Genomic DNA, 27,716 nt, shown 5'->3' on the forward strand with positions numbered 1-27,716 from the left:
TTTCTCTCCTTTAATTCTGACACTGGGTTCAAGCGATTCTCCTGCCTCAGCCCCCCGCGTAGCTGGGACTACAAGCACCCACCACCATGCCTGGCTAATTTTTGTATTTTTAGTAGAGACAGGGTTTCACCATGTTGGCCAAGCTGGTCTCGAACTCCAGACCTCAGATGATCTGCCTACCTTGGCCTCCCAAAGTGCTGGGCTTACAGGCATGAGCCACCGTGCCCAGCCAAAAGAGTAGATCTTAAATGTTCTCACCACAAAAAAACTGAAGTAATAAATACATTAGCTTTATTTTTTAAATTTTTAATTATTTTACAAAATAGAGATAGGGTCTCACTGTGTTGCCCAGGCTGGTCCTGAACTCTGGGCTCAAGCAATCCTCCCACCTGGGTCTCCCAAAGTGCTGGGATTAACAGACGTGAGCCACTGCACTTGGCCAGCTTGATTATTTTTTAATGGCAAACAAGCTCATGAAAAGATGCTCAACATTGTTAGTCACTAGAGAAGTGTGTCCAGAATTGGTGGGTTCTTGGTCTCACTGACTTCAAGAATGAAGCTGCAGACCCTTGCGGTGAGTGTTACAGTTCTCAAAGGTGGCGTGTCCAGAGTTTGTTCCTTCTGATGTTCGGATGTGTTCAGAGTTTGTTCCTTCTGGTGGCTGCGTGGTCTTGCTGGCTCAGGAGTGAAGCTGCAGACCACCGCGAGTATTACAGCTTTTAAAGCACTGCATCTAGAGTTTTTGGTTCCTCCAAGTGGGTTCGTGGTCTTGCTGGCTTCAGCAGACCTTCACGGTGAGCGTTACAGCTCACAAAGGCAATGCGGACCCAAAGAGTAAGCAATAACAATATTTACCGCAACGACTAAAAGAACAAACCTCTCACGACATACAAATGGACCCAACCGGGTTGCCACTGCTAGCTCTGGCAGCCTGCTTTTATTCTCTTACCTGGCCCCACCCACATCCTGCTGATTGGTCCATTTTACAGAGAGCCCATTGGTCCATTTTACAGAGAGCTGATTGGTCCGTTTTGACAGGGTGCTGATTGGTGTGTTTACAATCCCTGAGCTAAACACAAAGGTTCTCCAAGTCCCCACCAGAGTAGCTAGATACAGAGTGTCGATTGGTGCATTCACAAACCCTGAGCTAGACACAGGGTGCTGATTGGTGTGTTTACAAACCTTGAGCTAGATACAGAGTGCCAATTGGTGTATTTACAATCCCTTACCTAGACATAAAGGTTCTCCAAGTCCCCACCAGACTTAGGAGCCCAGCTGGCTTCACCCAGTGGATCCTGCACCGGGGCGCAGGTGGAGCTGCCTGCCAGTCCCGCACCCTGCACCTGCACTCCTCAGCCCTCAGGTGGTTGATGGGACTGGGCGCAGTGGAGCAGGGGGTGGCGCTCGTCGGGGAGGCTCGGGTGGCACAGGAGCCCACGGAAGAGGGGGGAGGCTCAGGCATGGCGGGCTGCAGCTCCTGGGCCCTGCCCGGCTGGGAGGCAGCTAAGGCCCTGCGAGAAATTGAGCACAGCAGCTGCTGGCCCAGGTGATAAGCCCCTCACTGCCCTGGGCTTGCAGGCCGGCTGAGCCCACGCCCACCCGGAACTTGTGCTAGCCCACAAGCGCCACGGCAGCCCCGGTTCCCGCCCGCACCTCTCCCTCCACACCTCCCTGCAAGCTGAGGGAGCCGGCTCTGGCCTTGGCCAGCCCAGAAAGGGGCTCCCACAGTGCAGCCGCATGCTGGACAGCTCCTCAAGCGTGGCCAGAGTGGTGGCCAAGGCCAAGGAGGTGCCGAGAGTGAGCGAGGGCCGCGAGGGCTGCCAGCACATTGTCACCTCTCAGAAGTACAAATTAAACGTCAATAAGATACCACTATACATCAATTAGAATGGCTAAAATTTTTTTATTTTTAAAGAACAAAACCCCAGGCCAGGCGCGGTGGCTCACGCTTGTAATCCCAGCACTTTGGGAGGCCGAGGTGGGCGGATCACAAGGTCAGGAGATCGAGACCATCCTGGCTAACACGGTGAAACCCCGTCTCTACTAAAGATACGAAAAGTTAGCTGGGCGTGGTGGCGGGCGCCTGTAGCCCCAGCTACTTGGGAGGCTGAGGCAGGAGAATGACATGAACCCCGGAGGTGGAGGTTGCAGTGAGCCGAGATTGTGCCACTGTACTCCAGCCTGGGCGGCAGAGCGAGACTGTCTCAAAAAAAAAAAAAAGAACAAAACCTCAAATCTGATAATACCAACTGTAGACAAGAATGTGGAGCAACTGGAACAGTCATACATTGCTGGTGAGAATGCAAAATGATACAACTGCTCTGGGGAAACAGGTTAGCAATTTCTCATGAAGTTAAACATGTACTTTGTGTTTGACCTAGCAATCTCCTAGGTGATTCTCACCCAAGAGAAACAAAACTTATGTTTGCAAGAAACCTGTACACTAATGTATATAGCAACTTTATAATTGCTAAAAACTGGAAACAAACCAATATCTTGCAGTTGGTAAGTAGATAGTATGGAATACCCTTGGCAATAAAAATGAGTAAGTTATTATATACTACAACTTGGATGAATCTCAAATGCATTATGCTAAGTGAAAAAAAGCCAAACTCATAAGGCTACATATGATACGATTTTGTTGTGTGACATTCTGGAAAGGCAAAACTATAGGGACACAAGACAGACAGACCAGTGCTTGCCAGGGATTAACAGTGGAAGCAGGGTTTGACCATGAAGGAGTTTTGGGGGTGACAAGATACTCTGGTTTTTTTTTTTTTCTTGAGACAGAGTCTCGCTTTGTCGCCCAGGCTGGAGTGCAGTGGCACGATCTCAGCTCATTGCAAAAACTGGAAACGAAGTAAATATGGCAACATGCTAATTACATGTGACATTATCAGTATTTGCTTTATTATTGTACTTGTATATTTTAATTGGTCGACATACAAACAAGGCAAAATATATCCCCCTTAGAGAAAATTTGGAAAAGACAGAAAAGGAGATAGAACAAGTCACCAGTTGTCTTTATTTATTTATTGAAACGGAGTCTCGCTCTGTCGCCCAGGCTGGAGTCCGGTGGCGCCATCTCCGCTTACTGCAAGCTCTGCCTCTCGGGTTCATGCCATTCTCCCGCCTCAGCCTCCCGAGTAGCTGGGACTACAGGCGCCCACCACCATGCCCGGCTAATTTTGTTTTTGTATTTTTAGTGGAGACAGGGTTTCACTGGGTTAGCCAGGATGGTCTTGATCTCTTGACCTCGTGATCCACTTGCTTTGGCCTCACAAAGTGCTGGGATTACAGGCGTGAGCCACTGCGCCCGGCCCACCGGTTGTCTTTAGACATTGTATTTTTTATTCTTTTCTACATGTCTTTTTGCCTAATGAAAAGTGTACTGTAAGAAAAATTTTGCCTGTGTATTCTAAACTTGTTTCCTTTGCAACTTTTTCTTTTCTTTTTTCTTTTTTGAGACAGAGTCTCGCTCTGTTACCCAGGCTAAAGTGCAGTGTCGCGATCACAGTTCACTGCAGCCTTGACCTTCCTGAGCTCAGGTGATCCTCCAGCCTCAGCCTCCTGAGCAGCTGGGACTACAGGTGCACCCACGCCCGGCTAATTTTTTGTATTTTTTGTAGAGACAGGATTTCATCATGTCGCCCAGCCTAGTGTCGAGCTCCTCAGCTCAAGTTATCCGCCCACCTCGGCCTCCCAAAGTGCCGGGATTACAGGCACAAGCCACCGTGCTTGGCCACCCCTTCCTCTTAAATGATCTTTGAAACATTATTTGCAGTCTCAAAGCCTGCATTTATCTAAACAACTGGTTTCATTTTAGGGATGTAGGCATTTCTGTAATATTAAACTGTTATATTTCACCTCGCTAGCATGGGAGTACAACTGAGGGGATGTTTGCATGAATCTTGTGAATTATGATGGCTCTAAGCCATTGTAATTTGATTAACAGAAGTCCTACTTTGGGGTTTATCTTATTTTTATTATTTATTTATTTTTTGAGTGGAGTCTCACTCTGTTGCCCAGGCTGGAGTGCAGTGGTGCTATCTGGGCTCACTGCAACCTCTGCCTCTGGGGTTTAAGTGATTCTCCTGCCTCAGCATCCCGAGTAGCTGGGATTACAGGCGCAGGCCACCATGCTGGCTAATTTTTTGTATTTTTAGTAGAGATGGGATTTCACCATGTCGGCCAGGCTGGTCACAAACTCCTGACCTCAAGTGATCTGCTCACCTTGGCCTCCCAAAGTGCTGGGATTACAGGCATGAGCCACTGCGTCTGGCCTACTTTGGGATTTTTCTCTACAGTGTTTTCATGTTGTTAATGTAGCTGGGGGTCCAGCATCACTGCTGGTCACTTAATCCTGCTGGAGGCCACCAGGATACACCATCTCTGTGCAGTGAGCTGTCAAGGAGAGCCCTAGGCAAAATTACTTAGGTTCATGGTGTCAGTGCTTTTGTGGAGATATCCAACTCCTGAGGTTCACTCATACTGTCATTTTCTCCTAAGGCATCAGGTGATGAGCCTCTCTGATCCAGCATTTTGACTACCCTTTTCACATTTTTTTTTTTTTCTGAGACAGAGTCTGGCTCTGTTGCCCAGGCTGGAGTGCAGTGGCATGATCACGGCTTACTGCAGCCTCAACCTCCCAGGCTCAAGTGATCCTCCTGCTTCAGCCTCCTGAGTAGCTGGGACTACAGGTGCACGCCACTATGCCTGGCTAATTCTTTCATTTTTTATAGAGACAGGACCTCGCTATGTTGCCCAGGCTGGTTCCAACTCCTGAACTCAAGTGATCCACCTGCCTTGGGCTCCCAAAATCTCGGGATTACAGGCGTATAGTGCTAGGCCTTCACATTCTTATATACCCTTCTGTTTCCTTAGCTGTGAAATGGAGATAATGACATAGCCTTAATTCACGTGGGATGCTTAGCACAGTGTCTGGCACTTGATAGATTTTTTTCTTTCTACTTGAAATTTATTTTTGAGCTGGGCACGGTGGCTCACACCTGTAATCCCAGCACTTGGGAAAACCAAGGCAGGCAGATTACCTGAGGTGAGGAGTTCAAGACCAGCCTGGCAAACATGGTGAAACCCCGTCTCTACTAAAAGTACAAAAATTACCTGGGTGTGGTGGCACACACCTGTAATCCCAGCTACTCCAGAGGCTGAGGCACGATAATCACTTGAACTCGGCAGATGGAGGTTGCAGTGAGCTGAGACTGAGCCACTGCACTCCAGCCTGGGTGATAAAGCGAGACTGTCTAAAAAAAAATTATTTTTAACTAATATAAAACTCTCTGAACCCTTCTTTTTCTGAGCTGCTTCTCCACTTGAGTCCATCCCACATCATTGAACATTTAATTACACAGAATTGTGTACCATCTTCCTTGACCCCCAGATCTTTAGCCTTCTATAGTACCCTGTCTCTTTTTGTCGTACTAGTCACAGTTGCACTTTTTTTTTTTTTTTTTTTGAGACAGAGTCTCATTCTGTCACCCAGGCTGCAGTGCAGTAGCACAATCTCAGCTCACTGCAACCTCCGCCTCCCGGGTTCAAGCAATTCTCCTGCCTCAGCCTCCTAAGTAGCTGGGATTACATGCGCGCACCACCACGCCAGGCTAATTTTTGTATTTTTAGTAGAGACGAGGTTTCACCATGTTGTCAGGCTGGTCTAGAACTCCTGACCTTGTGATCAGCCCACTTCAGCCTCCCAAAGTACTGGGATTACAGGCATGAGCCACTGCACCCGGCCATAGTTGCTATTTTATTTGTGTGATTGATTACCGTATGACGCTTTTATTGAAGTGCAGTGAAGGCAGGAAACATGACCGGTTTTTACAATATTTTCAACACTTATCACCATAGGTGGTACATAGTAGGGCCTTAATAAATATTTGTAAAATGAACAAAGTTAATGAGTGTTTATGTTTGTAGTTTTAATTGCTCTGAAGTAAATATCTGATTTTCCAATTTCCACCAGAGTGCTCTGCACATAGTAGGTCTAATTATTTTTCCCTCTTTACTAATCACCCATGCCTTGTAAGAATTCAGTTAGTTGACTTTTTGTACTTTATAAGCGTGATGATTGGGTGTTCCCGTGTGAGATGCGCCACCCTCGAACCTTGTTACGACGTCGGCACATTGCGCGTCTGACATGAAGAAAAAAAAAATTCAGTTAGTCCACCAGGCACAGTGGCTAAGGCCTGTAATCCCTGCACTTTGAGAGGCCAAGGCAGGAGGATCACTTGAACCCAGGAGTTCGAGACCAGCCTAGGCAACATAGCGAGACTCCGTTTCAAACAACAAATAAAAATAATTAGTCGGGCATGGTGGTGCGCGCCTACAGTACCAACTACTCGGGAGGCTGAGGCGAGACGATCGCTTGAGCCAGGGAGGTCAAGGCTGCAGTGAGCCAAGCTCGCGCCACTGCACTCCAGCCCGGGCGACAGAGTGAGACCCTGTCTCAAAAAAAAAAAAAACACCAAACCTTAGAGGGGCGAAAAAAAATTTTATAGTGGAAATACAGTAACGAGTTGGCCTAGCCTCGCCTCCGTTACAACGGCCTACGGTGCTGGAGGATCCTTCTGCGCACGCGCACAGCCTCCGGCCGGCTATTTCCGCGAGCGCGTTCCATCCTCTACCGAGCGCGCGCGAAGACTACGGAGGTCGACTCGGGAGCGCGCACGCAGCTCCGCCCCGCGTCCGACCCGCGGATCCCGCGGCGTCCGGCCCGGGTGGTCTGGATCGCGGAGGGAATGCCCCGGAGGGCGGAGAACTGGGACGAGGCCGAGGTAGGCGCGGAGGAGGCAGGCGTCGAAGAGTACGGCCCTGAAGAAGACGGCGGGGAGGAGTCGGGCGCCGAGGAGTCCGGCCCGGAAGAGTCCGGCCCGGAGGAACTGGGCGCCGAGGAGGAGATGGAGGCCGGGCGGCCGCGGCCCGTGCTGCGCTCGGTGAACTCGCGCGAGCCCTCCCAGGTCATCTTCTGCAATCGCAGTCCGCGCGTCGTGCTGCCCGTATGGCTCAACTTCGACGGCGAGCCGCAGCCCTACCCAACGCTGCCGCCTGGCACGGGCCGCCGCATCCACAGCTACCGAGGTACGGGCCCGGCGCTTAGGCCCGACCCAGCAGGGACGATAGCACGGTCTGAAGCCCCTCTACCGCCCCGGGGTCCATTTTGCAGACGGGGAACTGAGGCCCCTTGAGGCAGGACACATCCAGGGTGACGCTGCTCGTAAGCGTCAGAGCATTCTTTTTTTTTTTTTTTTTTTTCTGAGACGGAGTCTCGCTCTGTCGCCCAGGCTGGAGTGCAGTGGCGCGATCTCGACTCACTGCAGCCTCCGCCTCCCGGGTTCAAGCGATTCTCCTGCCTCAGCCTCCTGAGTAGCTGGGATTACAGGCGTGCGCCACCGCGCCCGGCTGATTTTTATATTTTTAGTAGAGACGGGGTTTCACCATGTTGGTCAGGCTGGTCTCGAACTGCTGACCTCGTGATCCGCCCGCCTCGGCCTCCCAAAGTGCTGGGCTTATGGGCATGAGCCTCCGCGCCCGGCCCAGAGCATTCTTTATAAGGCCGAATAGTTTGCATTTGAAGGTGGCTCCCCCCAGTCCCCCACCCCACGTGTATTTTCCCCTCAAAGAAAAGCTGCATCCTTAACACCCCATCTGTTCAGTCCTCATGACTCCAGTGGGCCAGTTCTGCGTAGTCCCTGCCCTCGTGGAGAACACATTCCTCCTGGGGAGACTGACAGATGCAAAGACAGGAACAAGCCAGGGTCATGTTGGCGCCGGAAGAGCCGACCGTGTGTGGCGTGGGAAATTGACTTACCTGCCTGCTGGGAGATGGAGGGGTTGCGGTTGTGTGGTTTCAGTTAAGGAGCACTTCCCGGAGAAGGAAGAGAGCAGGATGGAGTAGGAACTAGCCAACCCTAGGTAAGAGGTTCTAGACATGCGTGCGTTGAGACCTGGAGTCTTGGGAGAGGATGCTTAAAAGGTGATTTTACCCCTAGGAATATGGGGGCACTGAAATTTTTTTTTTTTTTTGAGACGGGAGTCTTGCTCTGCAAGCTGGAGTGCAGTGGCCCACGCTAGAATGCAGTGGCGCGATTGCGGCTCATTGCAACATCTGCCACCTGGGGTCAAGTGGTTCTCTTGCCTCAGCCTCCCGAGGAGCGGGGATTACAGGCGTGCGCCACCACTCCTGGCTAATTTTTTTTTTAGTAGAGACGGGGGTTTCGTCATTTTGGCCAGGCTGGTCTCGAACTCCTGACCTCAGATGATCCACCCGCCTTGGCCTCCCAAAGTGCTGAGATTACAGGTGTAAGCCACTGCGCCCAGCCCTTTGAAAGTTTTTCAGTATTTATGTATATATATTTTTGAGTTGGAGTCTGGATCTGTCGCCAGACTGGAGTGCTGTTGCACAATCTTGGCTCACTGCAATCTCCGACTCCCTGGTTCAAGCGATTCTCCTGCCTCAGCCTCCCAAGTAACTGGGATTACAGGCACGCACTACCATTCCCAGCTAATTTTTTGTATTCTTAGTAGAGACAGGGTTTCACCATGTTGGCCAGGATGGTCTCCATCTCCTGCGCTCGTGATCTGCCTGCTTCGGCCTCCCAAAGTGCTGGGATTACAGGCGTGCTGGGATTTCGGCCACAACGTCCGACCGAAAGTTTTTAAGCAGGGACATGACATTGTCAGATTTATATACTGAAAAGCTCACCCAGGTTGCCAAGTGGTTTGGAGGGGAAAGACTGCTGTCGAGGAAGCAGTTAGGTAGTTGTGAAAACCCAGGTGAGGAATAACTAGGCCTTACCTAAGGTGCAGGCAGTAATCTTGCCATGGCCTTTAAGCAGAGAAGTAGTCCTAGTGTCACTTAATCTTTACAAAGGATTTTTGCAAGGATCCCGATCTTTCTTCCTTGAGGGTGGTGTACTTAATACACTTTTACACCAGACTTCTAATGTTAGATGAAGAACACAGTATTTCCAGGGATCAACATTTCTGTAGGCTCCTATTTTATATAGGAAATTGTATGAATTTTGTATTTTACTCCAAAATTTTTCTGTGCCCGATTTAATATAAAAATTTACTGAGCCTGGGTGCAGTGGCTCATGCCTGTGATCTCAGCACTTTGGGAGGCTGAGGCAGGAGGATTTCTTGAGCCCAGGAGCTGGAGACCAGCCTGTGCAACATAGTGAGACCCTGTCTGTATTTAAAAAAAAAAAAAATTCTTGAAAAATTAGCAGGGCACATTCCTGCCTTTAGTCCCAGCTACTTGGGAAGCTGAGGCAGGAAGATCACCCGAACCCAGGAGTTGGAGGCTACAGTGAACTATGATGGTGCCTCTGAATAGTTGCTGTACTCTAGTCTGGTAACACAGCAAGACCCTGTCTCTCTATCTTGTCTTTTTTTTTTTTTTTTTTGAGACAGGATGTCCTGCTGTTGCCTGGGCTGGAGTGTGGAGGCTGGAGTTTGGTGGCATGATCACGGCTCATTGCACCCTTAACCTGGGCTCAAGCAGTCCTCCCAGAGCTTCAGCTTCCCAAAGTAGCTGGGACTATAGGCATGCTCCACTATGTCTGGCTAATTTCTTTTTTTATTTTTATTTTTAGTAGAGATGAGGTCTTGCTATGTTGCCCAGGCTGAGACCTCATCTCTTTTTTATTTTTTTAAAATTTTTTATTATACTTTAAGTTCTAGGGTACATGTGCACAACGTGCAGGTTTGTTACATATGTATACATGTGCCATGTTGGTGTGCTGCACCCATAGAGACCTCGTCTTAAAAAAAGAAAATAACATTACTTTTGAAGGTACTTAATGCACTGAATTGTACATTTAAAAATGGTTAAAATGGTAAATGTTTGAGGCAGGTAGATCCACCTGAGGTCAGGAGTTCAAGACCAGCCTGACCAATATGGTGGAACCCTGTCTCTGCTAAAAATACAAAAGTTAGCTGCATGTGGTGGCATGCGCCTGTTTAGTCCCAGCTACTCGGGAGGCTGAGGCAGGAGAATTGCTTGAACCTGGGAGGCGGAGGTGGCAGTGAGCCAAGATCACACCACTACACTCCAGCCTGGGCAACAGAGCAAGACTCCATCTCTAAATAATAAATAAAATGGTAACTTTTATGTATATTTTACCAAAATTTAAAAAATTACAAGTTTACATTTCTTAAAATTTCCCATCAAATCTGTAAGTAAATTTATGCCCCGAGGAACAAGTGCTATATTTATTCTAAGACAACCTCCTCCTTCCTTAAACAGAATCTTAGGGCTGGAGGATTGCTTCCTGCCCTCTTTTGTTTGTGATGTATGCATTTTGAAAATTCTGGGCCAGGCGCAGTGGCTCACTCCTGTAATCCCAGCACTTTGGGAGGCCGAGGCGGGCGGATCATAAGATCAGGAGATTGAGACCATCCTGGCTAATACGGTGAAACCCTGTCTCTACTGAAAATAACAAAAAATTAGCCGGGCGTGGTGGCGGGCACCTGTGGTCCCAGCTATTTGGGAGGCTGTGGCAGGAGAATGGCATAAACCTGGGAGGCGGAGCTTGCAGTGAGCCGAGATCGTGCCACTGCACTCCAGCCTGGGCGACAGAGCAAGACTGCATCTCAAAAAAAAAAAAAAGAAAAAGAAAAGAAAATTCTGGTATAATTTACATACAGTAAAATGCACAGATCTTAGGGTTTGATGAGTTTTCTCTCGACATGTTTTTGCACTTCCTTGTTTTTGAGAAGCACTGATTTGAGAAGTCAGTGGCTTTTTCTCTTTAGTTTGCAGGGTTTGCTGTGATTTGTAATCACGTACTTGACCTAGGCTTCCCTTTTCCACCATGGTAGCAGAAAGGGCATGGGATTGAGAGCTTTAAGTACGCGCTCTTTGCTTACTGTCTTATACCTTGAGCATGTCACTTCTCTCAGACTTGTTTTCTCATCTGTAAATGGATCTGTTGTGAGGACTGACTGAGATAATGTTACTAGAAGGGCTTTGTATAATATTTAAGCAGAGTGAGAGGTAAGCTTTTTGTGTAGGTCAGGGGAAATGGAGAAAATAGGTGCCCTGACTCAGACCAGTCTGGCTCTTTTTTTTTTTTTTTTTGGAGACGGAGTCTTGCTCTGTCACCCAGGCTGGAGTGCAGTGGCGCGATCTCGGCTCACGGCAAGCTCCACCTCCTGGGTTCACACCATTCTCCTGCCTCAGCCTCCCGAGTAGCTGGGACTACAGGCGCTCGCCACCACACCTGGCTAATTTTTTTGTATTTTTAGTAGAGACGAGGTTTCACCACGTTAGCCAGGACGGTCTTGATCTCCTGACCTCATGATCCGCCTGCCTCGGCCTCCCAAAGTGCTGGGATTACAGGTGTGGGCCACCGTGCCCAGCCACCGGTGTGGCTCTTTAACAACCTTTGCTTGTCCCGATAGGTCACCTTTGGCTCTTCAGAGATGCAGGGACACACGATGGGCTTCTGGTTAACCAAACTGAATTATTTGTGCCATCTCTCAATGTTGACGGACAGCCTATTTTTGCCAATATCACACTGCCAGGTACTGACGTTTTACTTTTTAAAAAGATAAGGTTGTTGTGGTAAGTACAGGATAGACCACTTGAAAAATTAAGCCCAGTTCTCAATTTTTGCCTGATGTCAGGCACGTTATCCAATCTTTTTGTATCCTATTCTCTACCATAAATAAAATGGAAGTGATGTATTTGTACGTTATGTGTTAAAGGTGTTATGGTGTCTCAAAAGCACTTTGGGCTCTTAAGAGACAAGCGAAATTAAAGTATCATATCATAGGTTAGTTTTGTAGAATTGTAGAATTACGAATGCCTTTTGTTTCCCTGGCCAAATTGTGCCCTGGAGTTCCAGGAGAACAATGTGTAGAGCATGAGATATTTTGGCTTATTTGTTGCTGACTTCTAATTTTTTTTATTTTTTTGAGACAGAATCTCGCTGTGTTAGCTAGGCTGGAGTGCAGTGGCGCAATCTCGGCTCACTGCAACCTCCGCCTACTGGGTTCCAGTGATTCTCTTGTCTCAGCCTCCCGAGTAGCTGGGACTACAGGCGTGTGCCACCCACTCTGATAATTTTTTGTATTTTTAGTAGAGACGGGGTTTCACCGTGTTAGCCAGGATGGTCTCCATCTCCTGACCTCATGATCTGCCCGCCTACGCCTCCCAAAGTGCTGGGATTACAGGCATCAGCCACAGCACCTGGCCTATGTATTTTCAATTTAACACAATCAAGCTCACAGTGCCAATCAGAGGTGTTTTTTTTTTTTTTATTTTTATTTTTAGAGAGTCTCACAGTGTCATCCAGGCTGGAGTGCAGTGGTGCGATTTCAGCTCACTGCAACCTCTGCATCCTGGGTTCAAGTGATTCTCCTGCCTCAGCCTCCTGGGTAGCTGGGGTTATAGGTGCCTGTCACCACACCTGGCTAATTTTTGTATTTTTAGTAGAGATGAGGTTTCACCATGTTGGCCAGGCTGATCTTGAACTCCTGACCTCAGGTGATCTGCCCACCTCAGCCTCCCAAAGTGCTGGGATTACAGGCGTGAGCCACTGCGTCCAGCCTGTTTTTTTTTTTTTTTAAATCATTGAAGATTGGTATAATACTTCACTATTTGTTTGAAGCTCAAATGATTTTATCAGGGTAAACCCTAATAAACTGATGTTCCTGTGGGTAAAAAAAACCTCACTAAAGACCAGCAGTGTGTGGTGGCTCCTGCCTGTAATCATGCCTGTAATTCCAGCACTTAGGGAGGCTATGGCGGGAGGGTCGCTTGAGACCAGGAGTTCTTGACCAGCCTGGACAACAAAGTGAGACCCCAGCTCCACAAAAAAATTTTTTTTTAATTACCTGGGCATCTTAGCATATGCCTGTGGTCACAGCTATTTGGGAGGCTTAGGTGGGAGGATCCCTTGAGCCCAGGAGTTTGAGGCTGCAGTGAGCCATGATCATACCACTGCACTCCAGCCCAGGTGACAGAGTGAGATCCTGTCTCAAAAAAAGAAAAAAAAAACTCAAAAACCCCCCAAATACATGGGTTTCATAGGATTCAAACTACTATGTGTGTATAGATCCTGTTTTAAGGAAGTAGATATATAAAAATGAGCATTGCTAAGTTAAATTTGGTAAATTTGCCTTATAGAATACCCTCGAGTACGTTTCCAGTGAGTGTAAAATAGGAATTGGGATACCCAATTCAGTTGTACTAGATTTTCTTTTTTTTTTTTTTTTTGAGACGGAGTCTCGCTCTGTCGCCCAGGCTGGAGTGCAGTGGCGGGATCTCGGCTCACTGCAAGCTCCGCCTCCCGGGTTCACGCCATTCTCCTGCCTCAGCCTCCCAAGTAGCTGGGACTACAGGCGCCCGCCACTACGCCCGGCTAATTTTTTGTATTTTTAGTAGAGACGGGGTTTCACCGTTTTAGCCGGGATGGTCTCGATCTCCTGACCTCGTGATCCGCCCGCCTCGGCCTCCCAAAGTGCTGGGATTACAGGCGTGAGCCACCGCGCCCGGCCTAGATTTTCTAAGTACACATTGTTTTGGTTATGTGTTTTGTGACTACCACCCCAAAACTAATAACCACCTTTTTTTTTTTTTTGAGACAGAGTCTCACTGTGTCACCCAGGCTGGAGTGCAGTGGCGTGTGATCTTGGCTCACTGCAACCTCTGCCTCTCGGGTTCAAGCGATTCTCCTGCTTCAGCAGCTGGGACTACAGGTGTGCACCACCAAGCCTGGCTAATTTTTTGCATTTTAGTGGAGACGGGGGTTTCACCATGTTGACCAGGCTGATCTTGAACTCTTGAGCTCAGGCAGTCTGCCTGCCTCAGCCTCCTAAAGTGCTAGGATTACAGGCGTGAGCCACTGCGCCCAGCCCACCATTTTATTTGTTCATAATTCTGTAGTCCAGGCTGGGCTCAGCTAGGCAGTTACTCTGCTGGTGGTAGTCGTTGGTGTGGCTGCCTTTTGCTGGCAGCTGGGGGCTGGGCCTGTCCCTCTTTTTTTTTTTTCTCTTTTCTTTTTTCTTTTTTTTCAAGATAGGGTCTCACTCTGTCACCCAGGTTGGAGTGCAGTGGCATGATCTTAGCTCACTGCAACCTCTGCCTCCAGGGCTCAAGTGATCCTCCCACCTCAGCCTCCCCAGTCGCTGGGACCACAGGCATGTGCCACCATGCCTGGCTAATTTTTTGTGTATTTTGTAGAGACGGGGTTTCGCCATGTTGCCAGGCTGGTCTCGAACTCCTGAGCTCAGGCGATCTACTGACGTTGGCCTCCCAAAGTGTTGGGATCACAGGCATGAACCACCATGCCTGGCCAGGGCCTGTTCCTCTTTATGTGGTCTCTCTAGCAGGGTAGCTCAGGGCTTTCAAAAGTATAAAAGCAGAAGTCAGCAGGCCTTTTTAAGGCTTCGGCCTAGAATTGCCAGTGTCGCTTCATCCACATTCAGTTAGTTAAAGCAATCACAAGCCCAGCCCATTTCAAGGTGAAATTACTACAGAGGCATGAACACCATGAGGTGTCCATAGGGGGCCATCAGCATAACACACTGCCACATACATGCACTCACTTTTTTTCTTTAACCTAAAGTGAGATCCATCAGTAGTACAGGTAGTTGTTGGCAAAGCCTCTTGTTCGTTCCTTGTACTGAGACCCTAGTCTGCCACTGAGGATTTGGTTTTTGCCCTTCCAGTGTATACTCTGAAAGAGCGATGCCTCCAGGTTGTCCGGAGCCTAGTCAAGCCTGAGAATTACAGGAGACTGGACATCGTCAGGTCGCTCTACGAAGATCTGGAAGACCACCCAAATGTGCAGAAAGACCTGGAGCGGCTGACACAGGAGCGCATTGCACATCAACGGATGGGAGATTGAAGATTTCTGTTGAAACTTACACTGTTTCATCTCAGCTTTTGATGGTACTGATGAGTCTTGATCTAGATACAGGACTGGTTCCTTCCTTAGTTTCAAAGTGTCTCATTCTCAGAGTAAAATAGGCACCATTGCTTAAAAGAAAGTTAACTGACTTCACTAGGCATTGTGATGTTTAGGGGCAAACATCACAAAATGTAATTTAATGCCTGCCCATTAGAGAAGTATTTATCAGGAGAAGGTGGTGGCATTTTTGCTTCCTAGTAAGTCAGGACAGCTTGTATGTAAGGAGGTTTGTATAAGTAATTCAGTGGGAATTGCAGCATATCGTTTAATTTTAAGAAGGCATTGGCATCTGCTTTTAATGGATGTATAATACATCCATTCTACATCCGTAGCGGTTGGTGACTTGTCTGCCTCCTGCTTTGGGAAGACTGAGGCATCCGTGAGGCAGGGACAAGTCTTTCTCCTCTTTGAGACCCCAGTGCCTGCACATCATGAGCCTTCAGTCAGGGTTTGTCAGAGGAACAAACCAGGGGACACTTTGTTAGAAAGTGCTTAGAGGTTCTGCCTCTATTTTTGTTGGGGGGTGGGAGAGGGGACCTTAAAATGTGTACAGTGAACAAATGTCTTAAAGGGAATCATTTTTGTAGGAAGCATTTTTTATAATTTTCTAAGTCGTGCACTTTCTCGGTCCACTCTTGTTGAAGTGCTGTTTTATTACTGTTTCTAAACTAGGATTGACATTCTACAGTTGTGATAATAGCATTTTTGTAACTTGCCATCCGCACAGAAAATACGAGAAAATCTGCATGTTTGATTATAGTATTAATGGACAAATAAGTTTTTGCTAAATGTGAGTATTTCTGTTCCTTTTTGTAAATATGTGACATTCCTGATTGATTTGGGTTTTTTTGTTGTTGTTGTTTTGTTTTGTTTTGTTTTTTTGAGATGGAGTCTCACTCTTGTCACCCAGGCTGGAGTGCAGTGGCGCCATCTCGGCTCACTGCAACCTCTGCCTCCTGGGTTCACGTAATCCTCCTGAGTAGCTGGGATTACAGGCGCCTGCCACCACGCTGGCCAATTTTTGTACTTTTAGTAGAGACAGTGTTTCGTCATGTTGGCCAGGCTGGTTTCAAACTCCTGACCTCAGGTGATCCGCCCACCTCAGCCTCCCAAAATGGTGGGATTACAGGTGTGTGGGCCACCGTGCCTGGCTGATTCAGCATTTTTTATCAGGCAGGACCAGGTGGCACTTCCACCTCCAGCCTCTGGTCCTACCAATGGATTCATGGAGTAGCCTGGACTGTTTCATAGTTTTCTAAATGTACAAATTCTTATAGGCTAGACTTAGATTCATTAACTCAAATTCAATGCTTCTATCAGACTCAGTTTTTTGTAACTAATAGATTTTTTTTTCCACTTTTGTTCTACTCCTTCCCTAATAGCTTTTTAAAAAAATCTCCCCAGTAGAGAAACATTTGGAAAAGACAGAAAACTAAAAAGGAAGAAAAAAGATCCCTATTAGATACACTTCTTAAATACAATCACATTAACATTTTGAGCTATTTCCTTCCAGCCTTTTTAGGGCAGATTTTGGTTGGTTTTTACATAGTTGAGATTGTACTGTTCATACAGTTTTATACCCTTTTTCATTTAACTTTATAACTTAAATATTGCTCTATGTTAGTATAAGCTTTTCACAAACATTAGTATAGTCTCCCTTTTATAATTAATGTTTGTGGGTATTTCTTGGCATGCATCTTTAATTCCTTATCCTAGCCTTTGGGCACAATTCCTGTGCTCAAAAATGAGAGTGACGGCTGGCATGGTGGCTCCCGCCTGTAATCCCAGTACTTTGGAAAGCCAAGGTAAGAGGATTGCTTGAGCCCAGAACTTCAAGATGAGCCTGGGCTCATAGTGAGAACCCATCTATACAAAAAATTTTTAAAAATTAGCATGGCGGCACACATCTGTAATCCTAGCTACTTGGCAGGCTGAGGTGAGAAGATCATTGGAGTTTAGGAATTGGAGGCTGCAGTGAGCCATGAGTATGCCACTGCACTCCAGCCTGGGGGACAGAGCAAGACCCTGCCTCAAAAAAAAAAAAAAAAAAAAAATCAGGCCGGGCATGGTGGCTCACGCCTGTAATCCCAGCACTTTGGGAGGTCGAGGTGGGCAGATCACCTGAGGTCAGGAGTTCGAGACCAGCCTGGCCAACATGGTAAAACCCCATTTCTACTAAAAAATACAAGAATTAGCTGGGTGTGGTGGCGCATGCCTGTAATCCTAGCTACTCAGGAGGCTGAGGCAGGAGAATCACTTGAACCCAGGAGGCGAAGATTGCAGTGAGCTGATATCGCACCATTGTACTCCAGCCTGTGTGACAGAGCAATACTCTTGTCTCAAAAAAAAAAAAAAATTCAAATCAGAGTGAAGTGAATGAGACACTCCAGTTTTCCTTCTACTCCGAATTTCAACTGATTTTAGCTCCTCCTTTCAACATTCAACAAATAGTCTTTTTTTTTTTTTTTTTTTTTTTTTTTTTGAGATGGAGTCTCACTCTGTTGCCCAGGCTGGAGTGCAGTGGTGCGATCTCTGCTCACTACAAGCTCTGCCTCCCGAGTTCAAGTGATTCTCCTGGCTCACCCTCCTGAGTAGCTGGGATTACAGGCGCCTGCCACCATGCCTGGCTAATTTTGTGTTTTTAGTGGAGACGGGGTTTCACCATGTTGTCCAGGATGGTCTTGATCTCCTGACCTTGTGATCCACCCACCTCAGCCTCCCAAAGTGCTGGGATTACAGGTGTGAGCCACCGCGTCCAGCCAGCTTTATTATTTTTTTTAAGCTGTCTTTGTGTCAAAATGATAGTTCATGCTCCTCTTGTTAAAACCTGCAGGCCGAGCACAGTGGCTCATGCCTGTAATCCCAGCATTTTGGGAGACCAAGGCGGATGGATCACCTGAGGTCAGGAGCTGAAGACCAGCCTGGCTAACATGGTGAAACCTCATCTCCACTTAAAATACAAAAATTGCCGGCCGCGGCGGCTCATGCCTGTAATCCCAGCACTTTGGGAGGCCTAGGCGGGTGGATCACGAGGTCAGGAAATCGAGACCATCCTGGCTAACACGGGTGAAACCCCGTCTCTATTAAAAAATAGAAAAAATTAGGCGGGCGTGGTGGTGAGCGCCTGTAGTCCCAGCTACTCGAGAGCCTGAGGCAGGAGAATGGCATGAACCTGGAAGGCGGAGCTTGCAGTGAGCTGAGATGGTGCCACTGCACTCTAACCTGGGCGACAGAGTGAGACACCGTCTCAAAAAAAAAAACAAAAAACAAAAATTATCCAGGTGTGGCGGTGGGCGCCTGTGAGGCAGGCGAATCTCTTGAACCCGGGAGGCGGAGGTTGCAGTGAGCCAAGATCACACCATTGCACTCCAGCCTGGGCAACAAGAGTGAAATTCCATCTCAAAAAGAAACCAAAAAAACAAAAAAAAAACATGCCGTTTGAGTACTGTGTTTTTGGTGTTGTCCAAGGAAAATTAAAAACCTGTAGCATGAATAATGTTTGTTTTTCATTTCGAATCTTGTGAATGTATTAAATATATCGCTCTTAAGAGACGGTGAAGTTCCTATTTCAAGTTTTTTTTTTTTTTTTTTTTTTTAAAGCTGTTTTTTAATACATTAAATGGTGCTGAGTAAAGGAAATAGGCAGGGTGTGTTGTGTGGTGTTTTAACTAGGCGCTTCTCTCTCAGAGAGTTTTGAAACCTGTTTACATAAAGGCCCAGGATGGGAAGGAGATCCAAACATAAGCCACCAGCCTCATTCCAAGTCTCTTCTATTTCCAACCCTGGATTTTTTTTTTTTATTTAACATTGTTTCTTTTAGCTTTATTTTTCTTATAAAAGAAATGTATCACTATAAAAAATTACACACTACAGAAAAATATTAAGAAGAAAAACATTCACATCGGAAACAAAGTTTTTTCCCATGAAAACAGAACCCAAAAGGGTAAGTGGTTAGTATTTCACCAGCAATTATGTTGAGAATAAGGCCAGGCGAGGTGGCTCACGCCTGTAATCTCAGCACTTTGGGAGGCCAGGGCAGGCAGATCATCTGAGGTCAGGAGTTTGAGACCAGCCTGGCCAACATGGTGAAACCCTATCTCTACTAAAAATTAAAAAATTAGCTGGGTGTGGTGGCATGTACCTGTAATCCCAGCTATTCAGGAGGCTGAGGCAGGAGAATTGCTTGAACCTGGGAGGCGGAGGTTGCAGTGAGCTGAGATTGCACCATTGCACTCTAGCCTGGGCAACGAGTGAAACTCCGTCTCAAAAGAAAAAAAAAAAAAAATATATATATATATATAGAGAGAGAGAGAGAGAATACCACAGTGAGGGCATGGGCTAGAAATCAGTGCACTAAGGATATGAAATAGATGTCAATGTGAACTTTTCGGATACTTTGACCCTGGGTCTTTGTATCCTCTTCTTAGCACCTCAGTCCCACGCTCTGCTAGTCATTGGCTTCCTGATACCCCTTCAATACAGACTGAGTATCCCTAATCCAAAAATTCCAAATCCAAAGCACTCCAAAATCCAAGAGTCCCAACGTGACGCCACAAGTGGAAAGTTCCACATGTGAGTACTTAACACAAACTTGTTTCACGTGCAAAACTGTGGAAAATATTGCTTACAATTACCTTCAGCCTTTGTCTGTAAGGTGTTTATGAAACTGGTGTTATGATGTATATGTTTTCTTTTTTTGTTCCTGGCTCATAACTCCCATAGCCCTTGTTACGGATGTGAGCCACCTTGCCTGGCTAATTTTTAAGTTTTTTGTAGAGATGGGGTCTCGCTGTGTTGCCCAGGCTGGTTTTAACTCCTGGGCTCAAGCGATCCTCCCACCTTGGCCTCCCAAAGCCCTGGGATTACAGGTGAGATTACAACCCTCATTTCAGAGAAGGTCCTACCCCATACCCTGGGGGAAGGAATGGTGACATCATAAAGCCTCGTTAAAACCCATGAGGACAGTGGAGAGTGTCAGGATAGCTGAACTACGTGTAGAGGTTCCTGGAGGGTGGTGCGCCCAGGGAGGGGACAGAAGCTCTGCGCCCCTTATCCCATACCTTGGTGTACGCATCTCTTCATCTGTATCCTTCGTAATATCCTTTATGATAAACCAGGTAGGCCGGGCGTGGTGGCTCACACATATAATCCCAGCACTTTGGGAGGCTGAGGTAGGAGGATTGCTTCAGCCTGGGAGTTCAAGATAACATCATAGTGAGATCCTGTCTCTCCTAGAAAAAAAAAGAACAACCAGGAGTGGTGGCGCATGCTTGCAGTCCCAGCTGTTCAGTTTGCACTCCAGCCTGGGAGACAGAGCAAGACCTGCTGTCTCAAAAAAAAAAGACTGGTAAACATTTTTCACTGAGTTCTGTTAGCCACTCCAGCAAATTAAACCCAAAGCGAAGGTGGTGGGAACCCCAACTTGAAGCTGGTTGGTCAGAAGTTCTGGAGCCCTAAACTTGCTACTGGTGTGTGGGTGGGGGCAGTCTTGGGGACTGAGGCCTCAACCTGCAGGATCTGATATTATTTCCAGAAAGATGGTGTTGGAAGTGAATTAGAGGATACCTAATTGGTGTTCACTGCAGAATTGATTGCTTGCTCGCTCTCGGGAAGAAATCTACACATTTGGACACGAAAGTGTTCTGGGTTGGTATTGTGTTAGTGTGGAATCTAGAGGAAAAACAGTTTTTCTGAAACAGAAAGGTAAATGAATTTCGCCTTTAGACTTGGGTCCCATCCTCAAGATACCTCATATATATGCACATATTCCAAAATACAAAAAAATCTGAAATTGGAAACACCTCTGGTCCCAAGCATTTCCAATGAGGGACATTCAACTTGTTCCCCTTTCTTTCGGCACACCTAAACTGCCTGCCCCAACAAAACATTTTCTTGTCCCCACCCCTTACCACACATACCCAGTAGTCCATTGGCAGGTCACAGAAAATTGAGGTACACGTATTATGGTCATGAGAAGGATTGGGCAGTAGCACTCAATGTATGAGAGGGAGAAAAACCCACAAAACTTATTTCAAAATTCAAAACATGAAACCGCAGGAAAATATAAGTCTGTTTGACATACAAACTAATGGCAGTAATCTCTCTCCCTGTCTGTCAGAAGGAAAAACACGAAAGATTGTTTCGTTCCAATTGGGAAAAGTTGAATCCTGGGGGCCTGGAGCTGGCCCCACAGATGCTGATAACAGAGCTGAGGTTACTGAAAGGCTTGGGGGAAGTCCTGTTGAACCATTTCATCTTAACATAAGTTGGAGGAGACTTAATTGGGCAAAGGACAGTTTAGCAATTTGCTTGATGGGGAGTGACATGAGTTGATGGATCTTCCCTTGTAGGAGGGTGTTCATTACCTAGGCCCAACCCAAGAATTTTGAGAACTCTTGTTGTAGCTATTCCATGCTCAGAAACCTCTGATAGGAACTGTGGTAAGGGCTCGTATTAGTCTGTTCTCATGCTGTTATGAAGGAATACCCAAGACTGTGTAATTAATAAAGAAAAGAGGTTTAATTGACACAGTTGCTCACAGCTGGGGAGGCCTCAGGAAACTTAACAATCATGGTGGAAGGCACCTCTTCACAGGGCAGCAGGAGAGAGAATGAATGCCAGCAGGGGAAATGGCAGATGCTTATAAAACCATTAGATCTCATGAAAACTCTGTCACCATTGGCCAGACGTGGTGGCTCACGCCTGTAGTCCCAGCACTTTGGGAGGCCGAGGTGGGTGGATCACAAGGTCAGGAGTTCACGACCAGCCTGGCCAAGGTGGTGAAACCCTGTCTCTACTAAAAATACAAAAATTAGCCAGGCGTGGTGGCGGGTGCCTGTAATCCCAGCTACTCGGGAGACTGAGGCAGAGAATTATTTGAACCTGGGAGGCGGAGCTTGCAGTGAGCCAAGGTTGTGCCACTGCACTCCAGCCTGGGCGATAGAGTAAGACTCCGTCTCAAAAAAAAAAAAAAAAAAGAAAACTCTGTCACCATCATGAGAACAGCCTGGGGAAAATTACCTCCCATGATTTGATTAAACCCTCCCATGATATATGGGGATTACAATTCAAGATGAGATCTGGGGGGGACACAGCCAAACCGTATCAGGGCTGTTCCAGCAGGTCTGGATTACCCTGGCGTGGAGCAACTCCAAGCAGTAGGGAGGATTTTGAGAAGGTCTAGTGTGCCTCTGGGGCAGCTGTTTTCCAAATACTCGTTTATACTTGGCAGCCTCCAGGATTTCCACCCCCCTGATAGATGCAGAAAGCAGATCCCTCTGGAACAGACTCCAGTATTGGAAATAAATGTACATGTATGGGAGATTGCCCAAATTAAGTATGGCACTCCTAAATAAGCCATTAAAAAGGATAGGGGGCCAGGCGCTGTGGCTCACACCTGCAATATCAGCGCTTTGGGAGGCTGAGGCTAGAGAATCACTGGAGGAGAGTTTGAGACCAGCCTTGGCAACATAGTGAGACCTCCGTCTCTACCAAAAAAAAAAAAAAAAAAAAGGTAAAAAGAATAGGATAGGATAGAGGTTTACTCATCTTTCTGAGAGAGAAAGAGTAGCCACTTTTTTTTTTTTTTAATTTTTTTCTTGAGAGAGAATCTCATTGTGTTGCTGAGGCTGGAGTGCAGTGGCGTTAGCTCACTGCAACCTCCACCTCCTGGGTTCAAGCAATTCTCCTGCCTCAGCCTCCTGAGTAGCTGGGATTACAGGTGCACGCCACCATGCCTGTCTAATTTTTAATATTTTTCGTAGAGACAGGGTTTCACCATGTTGGCCGGCTGGTCTCGAACTCCTGACTTCAAGTGATCTGCTCGCCTTGGCCTCACAAAGTGCTGGGATTACAGGCATGAGCCACCACACCTGGCTGAAATTTTTATTTTTTAAATTATAATAGAGACAGGGTCTTGTCATGTTGCCCAGGCTGCTCTTGAACACCTGGGCTCAGGCAGTCCTCCCGCCTTGGCCTCCCAAAGTGCTGAGATTATAGATAGGCATGCACCACCACACCTGGCCTTATGTTTGTTTTTCTTAAAATTTTTTTTGTTTGTTTCTGTTTTTTTGTTTGTGCTTTTTTTTGCCTTTTTTCTTTTTTTTTTTCTTTCTTTCTTTCTTTTTTTTTTTTTTTTTGAGACAGCGTCTCACTTTGTCACCCAGGCTGGAGTGCAGTGGCGCTATCTGGGCTCACTGCAAGCCCCACCTCCTGGATTCACGCCATTCTCCTGCTTCAGCCTCCCGAGTAGCTGGGACTACAGGCGCCCGCCACCACGCCCGGCTAATTTTTTTGTATTTTTTAGTAGAGACGGGGTTTCATCGTGTTAGCCAGGATGGTCTCGATCTCCTGACCTCGTGATCCGCCCGCCTCTGCCTCCCAAAGTGCTGGGATTACAGGCGTGAGCCACCGCGCCCGGCCTCCTTTTCTTTTTTTTTGAGACAGAGTGTTGCTCTTGTCGCCCAAGCTGGAGTACAATGGCAGGATCTTGGCTCACTGCAACCTCCGCCTCTGGGTTCAAGTGATTCTCCTACCTCAGCCTCCCGAGTAGCTGGGATTACAGGCATGCGCCACCACGCCCAGCTAATTTTGTATTTTTAGTAGAGATAGGATTTCTCCATGTTGGTCAGGCTGGTCTTGAACTCCTGATCTCAGGTGATTCGCCTGCCTCGGCCTCCCAAAATGCTGGGATTACAGGTGTGAGCCACTACACGCAGCCATTTTTTAACAGAGATGGGGTCTCACTATGTTGTCCAGGCTGGGCTCCTGGGCTCAGGCAGTCCTCTCTCCTTGGCCTTCCAAAGTGTTTGGATTACAGGAATGAGCCATGGCACCCAGCCCATCACAATTTTAGATGTTCATCTTTGCTCCAGAAAATCTAGTTTTAGGAATTTACCTTAAGAAAGAAAAAACAAGTGTGAATAGATGTATGTATATGAAGTTTGCTGCAGTATTATTTAGAATAGCATAATACTGGAAATAAAAGTATACTGATAGGAGTTTGGGCACATATAGTATGGTGTTCCTAAATAAGCCATTAAAAGGGAAATAGTACTATGCTCATATAATGACAGGAAAAGCTATTAATTGAAAAAAAAACAGAAAATTAAATGTTAAAAAAATTTTTTTTTCACCATAGTGTCTGCAAAAAAGAAAATATGTTTAAAAAATTGGCCAGTCACGGTGGTTCACGCCTGTAATCTCAGCACTTCGGAAGTCCGAGGTGGGCAGATCACGAGGTCAAGAGATCAAGACCATCCTGGCCAACGTGGTGAAACCCCGTCTCTACTAAAAATACAAAAAACTAGCCAGGTGTGGTGGCATGCGCCTGTAGTCCCAGCTACCTGGGAGGCTAAGGCAGGAGAATCACTTGAACCCGGTAGGCGGAGGTTGCAGTGAGCCGAGATTTCGCCACTGCACTCCAGCCTGGTGACAGAGTGAGACTCCTTCTCAAAAAAAAAAAAAAATCATTTTGTATAGGACTAAAAACATGTAAAAGGAGTATATACTCCAAACAATAATGGTGATTCCTCAGGGATGAGGTTATGGGAAGGTGTTTGTTTTCTCTTTCTTTCTGTCTTTGACAAATATCACATGCTATCAGAGAAACCAATAAAGATATTTTTGTTAAAAAAAAATATAGCCGGGCGCGGTGGCTCATGCCTGTAATCCCAGCACTTTGGGAGGCCGAGGTGGGTGGATCACCTGAGGTCAGGAGTTTGAGACCAGCCTGACCAACATGGAGAAACCTCGTATCTACTCAAAATACAAAATTAGCTGGGTGTGGTGGCACATGCCTGTAACCCCAGCTACTCAGGAGGCTGAGGCAGGAGAATTGCTTGAACCCAGGAGGCAGGGGTTGCGGTTAGCCAAGATCACACCAGTGCACTCCAGCCTGGGCAACAAGAGCAAAACTCCGTCTCAAAAAGAGAGAAAAAAAAAGAAAAATATATGCAAAGTGCATAGAGAAGCTTTATTATTCTCCTTTCATCAGTCTTCCCTCCTGCTCCAGCTTTTTTTTTTTTTTTTTTTTTTTTTTTGATATGGAGTCTCACTGTGTCCCCCAGTCTGGAGTGCAGTGGTATGATCTTGGCTCAGTGCAGTCTCCACCTCCCGGGTTCAAATGATTCTCCTGCCTCAGCCTCCCAAGTAGCTGGGATTACAGGTGCGTGCCATCACGCCCAGCGAATTTTTTTGTATTTTTAGTAGAAACGGGGTTCCGCCGTGTTGGTTGGGCTGGTCTCGAACTCCTGACCTCAAGTGATCCACCCACCTCGGTCTCCCAAAGTGCTGGGATTGCAGGCATGAGCCACCATGCTTGGCCTCTGCCCCAGCTTTCTGATATGACTGGTTCTCAACTGTGCCAGCACATATTAGAATTATCTGGGAAGCTTTAAAAAACAGTAGTGCCTGAGCCCCACTCCAGAATAATTGAATCTGTCTCCCTGGAGGTAGGGCTAGGCATTTATACTTTTTAAAAGCACCCCAGATGTTTCTACTGTGCAGCCAGGGTTGCAAACCACTGACTATAATTTCAAGGGAATTAAACTTGAACAGCTCAAAATGACGTAAGTGTGTAATTAATTACATTCAGCCTCAATAACTGTTTCTAACTGATCCTGGTGGGTGTTGGTCATGGAAAATAGCCAGAGGAAGAAATTAACTGCAAGATCAGAGGAAATTTCTTGTGGTGAGGCAGTATAACACAGCAGAAAGAGCATTTGCTTTGGGTCAGACTTGAGTTGCATCCTGTTGATGCGGGACAGGCAAGCCCCCAAATTGGGGTTTAGCCTGGGAGGGTTCTTAGCTTCACCCAGAAAGGAATTCCAGGGCCAGCCAGTGGTGTTAAATAGCACCTTTTATTGAAATAGCAGTGTGCAGCCGCAGCAGAGGTACTGCTCCTTGCAGGGTAGGGCTACTCCATAGGCAGTGTGCCCAGAGTAGTGGCTCAGAGGCAGTTCTACAGTCACATTTATACACACTTTTAATTATATGCAAATTAAGGGGCAGTTTATGCAGAACATTCTAGAAAGGGGCGGTGACTTCTTGGAGTCGCCATGGCAATGGTAAACTGACAAGGTACACTGGTGGCAGTGTCTTATGCGAGGTACTTCCCACCACACCTGTTTTAGCTAGTCCTCAATTTGGTCCGATGTCCCAGCCATTCCTTTCGAGTCGAGTGCTGCCCCCTACCTCACTGTCACTTGGCCAACTTGGCCCAGTTACAATTGACTTCAGCCTCAGTTTCTTCATCTGTAAAACAGAAACAATAAACCTTTGCAGGGTTGTATGGATTACAGATAATGTATGCTAAATGCCTGCTAGGTGAGTTGGTAGGTGAAGGGCAACCATTAGTAATAGCAAAGACCTTACTTTGAAGAACTTATTCTAAAGAGTGGTAACTGAGATGTGTCCCTGTGATGACCTGCTCAGGCCCAAAATGACTCAAGCTTCTCTGGAAGACAGAATCCTAGGACACAGATCCCAAGCCCTGAGGCTGGGGTGAGAAGGAATTGCGGGAAGGGCCTGAGGATGCAGCAGAGAGAGCAGTGGGGGCTCCTCTGCCTTCCAGGATTGACCAAGGCTGAATGTGAAACTTCCGTGGTCTTAAAGCCTCACCCCAGGGAAGAGGCCCTGTGGCACTGAGGGAGGAGCTCTACACACACGCTGCTTGCGGAAGAGAAGGAGAAGCAGGTAGGGGACTCTGCAAAAAGAGAAAAGGAGAAAAAGAAGAGGATCTTTATTCTCTTTTACCCCCGTGTGCCTGGGATGGAGATGCTTCTCCACCCAGCCTATGGCAAACAATCATTACAGTTCCCAAGTCCACCTTCAGCCACTGCTGAAAACACAGGACTTCACTTGAAAAGTAGTCTCAGAACACTGAAATATGTCCCACTTTCAACATCAAGGAGGACATAATAGTAATCCTTTACTGGGCTCAGCACTTCACAGTTGATCTTGAGCGTTTTGGAGTCCATTTAGGCTTCATAACAATCCTTCCAAGTGGCTGCAGCAGGAGATCCAGTTTCCAAAAGGGAAAACAGAACTGGCTCAAAGGACTAAGAGCCGGAGAGTGGCTGAACCAGGTCTCCAAACTTGATAGGACTCCAAGGCCAGTGGGTGCCTTTTCAAGACCACTAATGACAGCTACCATTTTTTGGGCACATTCTCTGTGCGAGGAAAGCCCTGTAGTAGGTGTTCTATATAGGCTACATAATTTGATTTATTCCACTCCCCTCACAACTCTAAGCAGTAGGAAGGAGCAGGCCCACTTTACAGATGCTGGAAACAAGGCTTGACGAATGAAATGAGTTGTCCAGAGTCACAAAGCCTGTTGGTGGCAGAACTGCAACTTGGCCCTAGGACTTCTCACTTTGATTTCAGCTTCCTCCTTTTGCAGCGCTACTCCATAGCTGACGGCCACAGCTATACAGTGGTACCTACTCTAGTTACTTATCTGCCCTTCGTGACCTCGCCTAACCTCTTGGAATCTATTTACTTCTGTGTAAAATGGGGATAATAATATCTATAGTATAGGCTTGTAAGAATGACATAAGATCATTTTTGCAAAGTACATTGTAGATACAGATAAATGTATCTGTATCTACAATATACTTTAGCCAGTGGTGATGGAGAGCCTGGGGTCAGAATACTTAGGTTCAAATGATTTTAGCCATATTATTTAACCTCTCTGTGCCTTAGTTTCCTTATTTGTAGAATGGGGCTATAACCATACCTACCTCAGAGGGTCATTGTAAGGAGTAAGTAAAGTAACCC

General features: G+C 46.9%; 1 protein-coding gene and 1 pseudogene across 4 annotated transcripts, besides 48 other annotated features; both read left to right on the plus strand.

The window, feature by feature from the left end:
- Window positions 1-3,744: part of a biological region, named in NCBI's record as "3p25 BRK1 Alu-mediated recombination region", that runs on past the window's edge. NCBI's record gives its function as "recombination_partner: LOC107303340 | LOC107303341 | LOC107303342".
- Window positions 1,578-1,841: a mobile genetic element, noted in NCBI's record as "direction; reverse".
- Window positions 1,695-1,698: a non allelic homologous recombination region, noted in NCBI's record as "LTR12C recombination sub-region, recombines with the NAHR recombination sub-region b within the 3p25 TATDN2 Alu-mediated recombination region". NCBI's record gives the evidence for it as "EXISTENCE:nucleotide sequencing assay evidence [ECO:0000219][PMID:19280651]".
- Window positions 1,928-2,228: a mobile genetic element, noted in NCBI's record as "direction; forward".
- Window positions 2,006-2,022: a non allelic homologous recombination region, noted in NCBI's record as "AluY recombination sub-region a, recombines with the AluY recombination sub-region a within the 3p25 VHL Alu-mediated recombination region". NCBI's record gives the evidence for it as "EXISTENCE:nucleotide sequencing assay evidence [ECO:0000219][PMID:19280651]".
- Window positions 3,024-3,322: a mobile genetic element, noted in NCBI's record as "direction; reverse".
- Window positions 3,041-3,311: a non allelic homologous recombination region, noted in NCBI's record as "AluY recombination sub-region b, recombines with the AluSg recombination sub-region within the 3p25 VHL Alu-mediated recombination region and the AluY recombination sub-region b within the IRAK2 Alu-mediated recombination region". NCBI's record gives the evidence for it as "EXISTENCE:nucleotide sequencing assay evidence [ECO:0000219][PMID:19280651]".
- Window positions 3,441-3,744: a mobile genetic element, noted in NCBI's record as "direction; reverse".
- Window positions 3,597-3,616: a non allelic homologous recombination region, noted in NCBI's record as "AluJb recombination sub-region, recombines with the AluYk3 recombination sub-region within the 3p25 VHL Alu-mediated recombination region". NCBI's record gives the evidence for it as "EXISTENCE:nucleotide sequencing assay evidence [ECO:0000219][PMID:19280651]".
- LOC124906359 (uncharacterized) lies at window positions 6,061-6,158 on the plus strand (annotated as a pseudogene).
- Window positions 6,689-18,578, plus strand: VHL (von Hippel-Lindau tumor suppressor). Of its 4 annotated transcripts, NR_176335.1 has the most exons (4): window positions 6,689-7,098; window positions 7,674-7,932; window positions 11,425-11,547; window positions 14,698-18,578. NR_176335.1 is itself a non-coding variant. In NM_001354723.2 (3 exons), the coding sequence occupies exons 1-2, from the start codon at window positions 6,759-6,761 to the stop codon at window positions 7,913-7,915; spliced, it is 582 nt and encodes a 193-aa protein (NP_001341652.1). In that variant the 5' UTR covers window positions 6,689-6,758; the 3' UTR covers window positions 7,916-7,932; window positions 14,698-18,578. The 4 variants fall into 4 exon arrangements, 3 of the variants coding, with proteins under 3 accessions (NP_001341652.1, NP_000542.1, NP_937799.1); NM_001354723.2 differs by lacking the exon at window positions 11,425-11,547; NM_000551.4 differs by lacking the exon at window positions 7,674-7,932.
- Window positions 7,250-7,554: a mobile genetic element, noted in NCBI's record as "direction; reverse".
- Window positions 7,250-25,263: a biological region, named in NCBI's record as "3p25 von Hippel-Lindau tumor suppressor, E3 ubiquitin protein ligase Alu-mediated recombination region". NCBI's record gives its function as "recombination_partner: LOC107303339 | LOC107303341".
- Window positions 7,274-7,525: a non allelic homologous recombination region, noted in NCBI's record as "AluSg recombination sub-region, recombines with the AluY recombination sub-region b within the 3p25 BRK1 Alu-mediated recombination region and the AluSx1 sub-region a, the AluYa5 sub-region, and the AluSz recombination sub-region b within this recombination region". NCBI's record gives the evidence for it as "EXISTENCE:nucleotide sequencing assay evidence [ECO:0000219][PMID:19280651]".
- Window positions 7,606-8,139: an enhancer, noted in NCBI's record as "H3K4me1 hESC enhancer chr3:10184379-10184912 (GRCh37/hg19 assembly coordinates)". NCBI's record gives its function as "activates a minimal SCP1, AML or CMV promoter by ChIP-STARR-seq in primed H9 embryonic stem cells {active_cell/tissue: H9 hESC(primed)}" and the evidence as "EXISTENCE:reporter gene assay evidence [ECO:0000049][PMID:30033119]".
- Window positions 8,029-8,339: a mobile genetic element, noted in NCBI's record as "direction; reverse".
- Window positions 8,290-8,305: a non allelic homologous recombination region, noted in NCBI's record as "AluSx recombination sub-region a, recombines with the AluSx recombination sub-region c within this recombination region". NCBI's record gives the evidence for it as "EXISTENCE:nucleotide sequencing assay evidence [ECO:0000219][PMID:19280651]".
- Window positions 8,373-8,640: a mobile genetic element, noted in NCBI's record as "direction; reverse".
- Window positions 8,377-8,378: a non allelic homologous recombination region, noted in NCBI's record as "AluSc5 recombination sub-region, recombines with the AluSx recombination sub-region c within this recombination region". NCBI's record gives the evidence for it as "EXISTENCE:nucleotide sequencing assay evidence [ECO:0000219][PMID:19280651]".
- Window positions 9,868-10,120: a mobile genetic element, noted in NCBI's record as "direction; forward".
- Window positions 10,024-10,029: a non allelic homologous recombination region, noted in NCBI's record as "AluSx recombination sub-region b, recombines with the AluSz recombination sub-region within the 3p25 BRK1 Alu-mediated recombination region". NCBI's record gives the evidence for it as "EXISTENCE:nucleotide sequencing assay evidence [ECO:0000219][PMID:19280651]".
- Window positions 10,335-10,646: a mobile genetic element, noted in NCBI's record as "direction; forward".
- Window positions 10,381-10,484: a non allelic homologous recombination region, noted in NCBI's record as "AluY recombination sub-region a, recombines with the AluY recombination sub-region a within the 3p25 BRK1 Alu-mediated recombination region, the AluY sub-region c within the 3p25 IRAK2 recombination region, and with the AluSq2 recombination sub-region within this recombination sub-region". NCBI's record gives the evidence for it as "EXISTENCE:nucleotide sequencing assay evidence [ECO:0000219][PMID:19280651]".
- Window positions 11,085-11,384: a mobile genetic element, noted in NCBI's record as "direction; reverse".
- Window positions 11,103-11,286: a non allelic homologous recombination region, noted in NCBI's record as "AluY recombination sub-region b, recombines with the AlusSc8 and AluYa5 recombination sub-regions within this recombination region". NCBI's record gives the evidence for it as "EXISTENCE:nucleotide sequencing assay evidence [ECO:0000219][PMID:19280651]".
- Window positions 11,925-12,220: a mobile genetic element, noted in NCBI's record as "direction; reverse".
- Window positions 11,966-12,122: a non allelic homologous recombination region, noted in NCBI's record as "AluSc8 recombination sub-region, recombines with the AluY recombination sub-region b and the AluSx1 recombination sub-region b within this recombination region". NCBI's record gives the evidence for it as "EXISTENCE:nucleotide sequencing assay evidence [ECO:0000219][PMID:19280651]".
- Window positions 12,271-12,575: a mobile genetic element, noted in NCBI's record as "direction; reverse".
- Window positions 12,529-12,546: a non allelic homologous recombination region, noted in NCBI's record as "AluSx1 recombination sub-region a, recombines with the AluSg recombination sub-region within this recombination region". NCBI's record gives the evidence for it as "EXISTENCE:nucleotide sequencing assay evidence [ECO:0000219][PMID:19280651]".
- Window positions 13,222-13,524: a mobile genetic element, noted in NCBI's record as "direction; reverse".
- Window positions 13,226-13,445: a non allelic homologous recombination region, noted in NCBI's record as "AluYa5 recombination sub-region, recombines with the AluY sub-region a within the 3p25 IRAK2 Alu-mediated recombination region, and the AluSc5, AluSg, and AluY sub-region b within this recombination region". NCBI's record gives the evidence for it as "EXISTENCE:nucleotide sequencing assay evidence [ECO:0000219][PMID:19280651]".
- Window position 13,594: a non allelic homologous recombination region, noted in NCBI's record as "AluSx3 recombination sub-region, recombines with the AluSq2 recombination sub-region within the 3p25 BRK1 Alu-mediated recombination region". NCBI's record gives the evidence for it as "EXISTENCE:nucleotide sequencing assay evidence [ECO:0000219][PMID:19280651]".
- Window positions 13,594-13,883: a mobile genetic element, noted in NCBI's record as "direction; reverse".
- Window positions 14,012-14,323: a mobile genetic element, noted in NCBI's record as "direction; reverse".
- Window positions 14,215-14,289: a non allelic homologous recombination region, noted in NCBI's record as "AluSx recombination sub-region c, recombines with the AluSx recombination sub-region a and the AluSz recombination sub-region a within this recombination region". NCBI's record gives the evidence for it as "EXISTENCE:nucleotide sequencing assay evidence [ECO:0000219][PMID:19280651]".
- Window positions 14,351-14,561: a mobile genetic element, noted in NCBI's record as "direction; reverse".
- Window positions 14,388-14,390: a non allelic homologous recombination region, noted in NCBI's record as "MLT1H recombination sub-region, recombines with the FLAM_C recombination sub-region within the 3p25 BRK1 Alu-mediated recombination region". NCBI's record gives the evidence for it as "EXISTENCE:nucleotide sequencing assay evidence [ECO:0000219][PMID:19280651]".
- Window positions 15,794-16,091: a mobile genetic element, noted in NCBI's record as "direction; reverse".
- Window positions 15,848-15,889: a non allelic homologous recombination region, noted in NCBI's record as "AluSx1 recombination sub-region b, recombines with the AluSc8 recombination sub-region within this recombination region". NCBI's record gives the evidence for it as "EXISTENCE:nucleotide sequencing assay evidence [ECO:0000219][PMID:19280651]".
- Window positions 17,772-17,906: a mobile genetic element, noted in NCBI's record as "direction; forward".
- Window positions 17,818-17,819: a non allelic homologous recombination region, noted in NCBI's record as "AluSq2 recombination sub-region, recombines with the AluY recombination sub-region a within this recombination region". NCBI's record gives the evidence for it as "EXISTENCE:nucleotide sequencing assay evidence [ECO:0000219][PMID:19280651]".
- Window positions 22,514-22,815: a mobile genetic element, noted in NCBI's record as "direction; reverse".
- Window positions 22,708-22,714: a non allelic homologous recombination region, noted in NCBI's record as "AluSz recombination sub-region a, recombines with the AluSx recombination sub-region c within this recombination region". NCBI's record gives the evidence for it as "EXISTENCE:nucleotide sequencing assay evidence [ECO:0000219][PMID:19280651]".
- Window positions 23,049-23,360: a mobile genetic element, noted in NCBI's record as "direction; reverse".
- Window positions 23,214-23,232: a non allelic homologous recombination region, noted in NCBI's record as "AluYk3 recombination sub-region, recombines with the AluJb recombination sub-region within the 3p25 BRK1 Alu-mediated recombination region". NCBI's record gives the evidence for it as "EXISTENCE:nucleotide sequencing assay evidence [ECO:0000219][PMID:19280651]".
- Window positions 24,953-25,263: a mobile genetic element, noted in NCBI's record as "direction; reverse".
- Window positions 25,219-25,234: a non allelic homologous recombination region, noted in NCBI's record as "AluSz recombination sub-region b, recombines with the AluSg recombination sub-region within this recombination region". NCBI's record gives the evidence for it as "EXISTENCE:nucleotide sequencing assay evidence [ECO:0000219][PMID:19280651]".
- Window positions 25,443-27,716: part of a biological region, named in NCBI's record as "3p25 IRAK2 Alu-mediated recombination region", that runs on past the window's edge. NCBI's record gives its function as "recombination_partner: LOC107303337 | LOC107303338 | LOC107303339 | LOC107303340".
- Window positions 25,443-27,716: part of a meiotic recombination region, noted in NCBI's record as "this region was identified as a recombination hotspot within the HapMap CEU population", that runs on past the window's edge. NCBI's record gives the evidence for it as "EXISTENCE:nucleotide sequencing assay evidence [ECO:0000219][PMID:20981099]".
- Window positions 26,178-27,716: part of a meiotic recombination region, noted in NCBI's record as "this region was identified as a recombination hotspot within the HapMap YRI population", that runs on past the window's edge. NCBI's record gives the evidence for it as "EXISTENCE:nucleotide sequencing assay evidence [ECO:0000219][PMID:20981099]".

Source organism: Homo sapiens, chromosome 3, assembly GCF_000001405.40.
Source record: "Homo sapiens chromosome 3, GRCh38.p14 Primary Assembly".
Classification (NCBI taxonomy): Eukaryota; Metazoa; Chordata; class Mammalia; order Primates; family Hominidae; genus Homo; species Homo sapiens.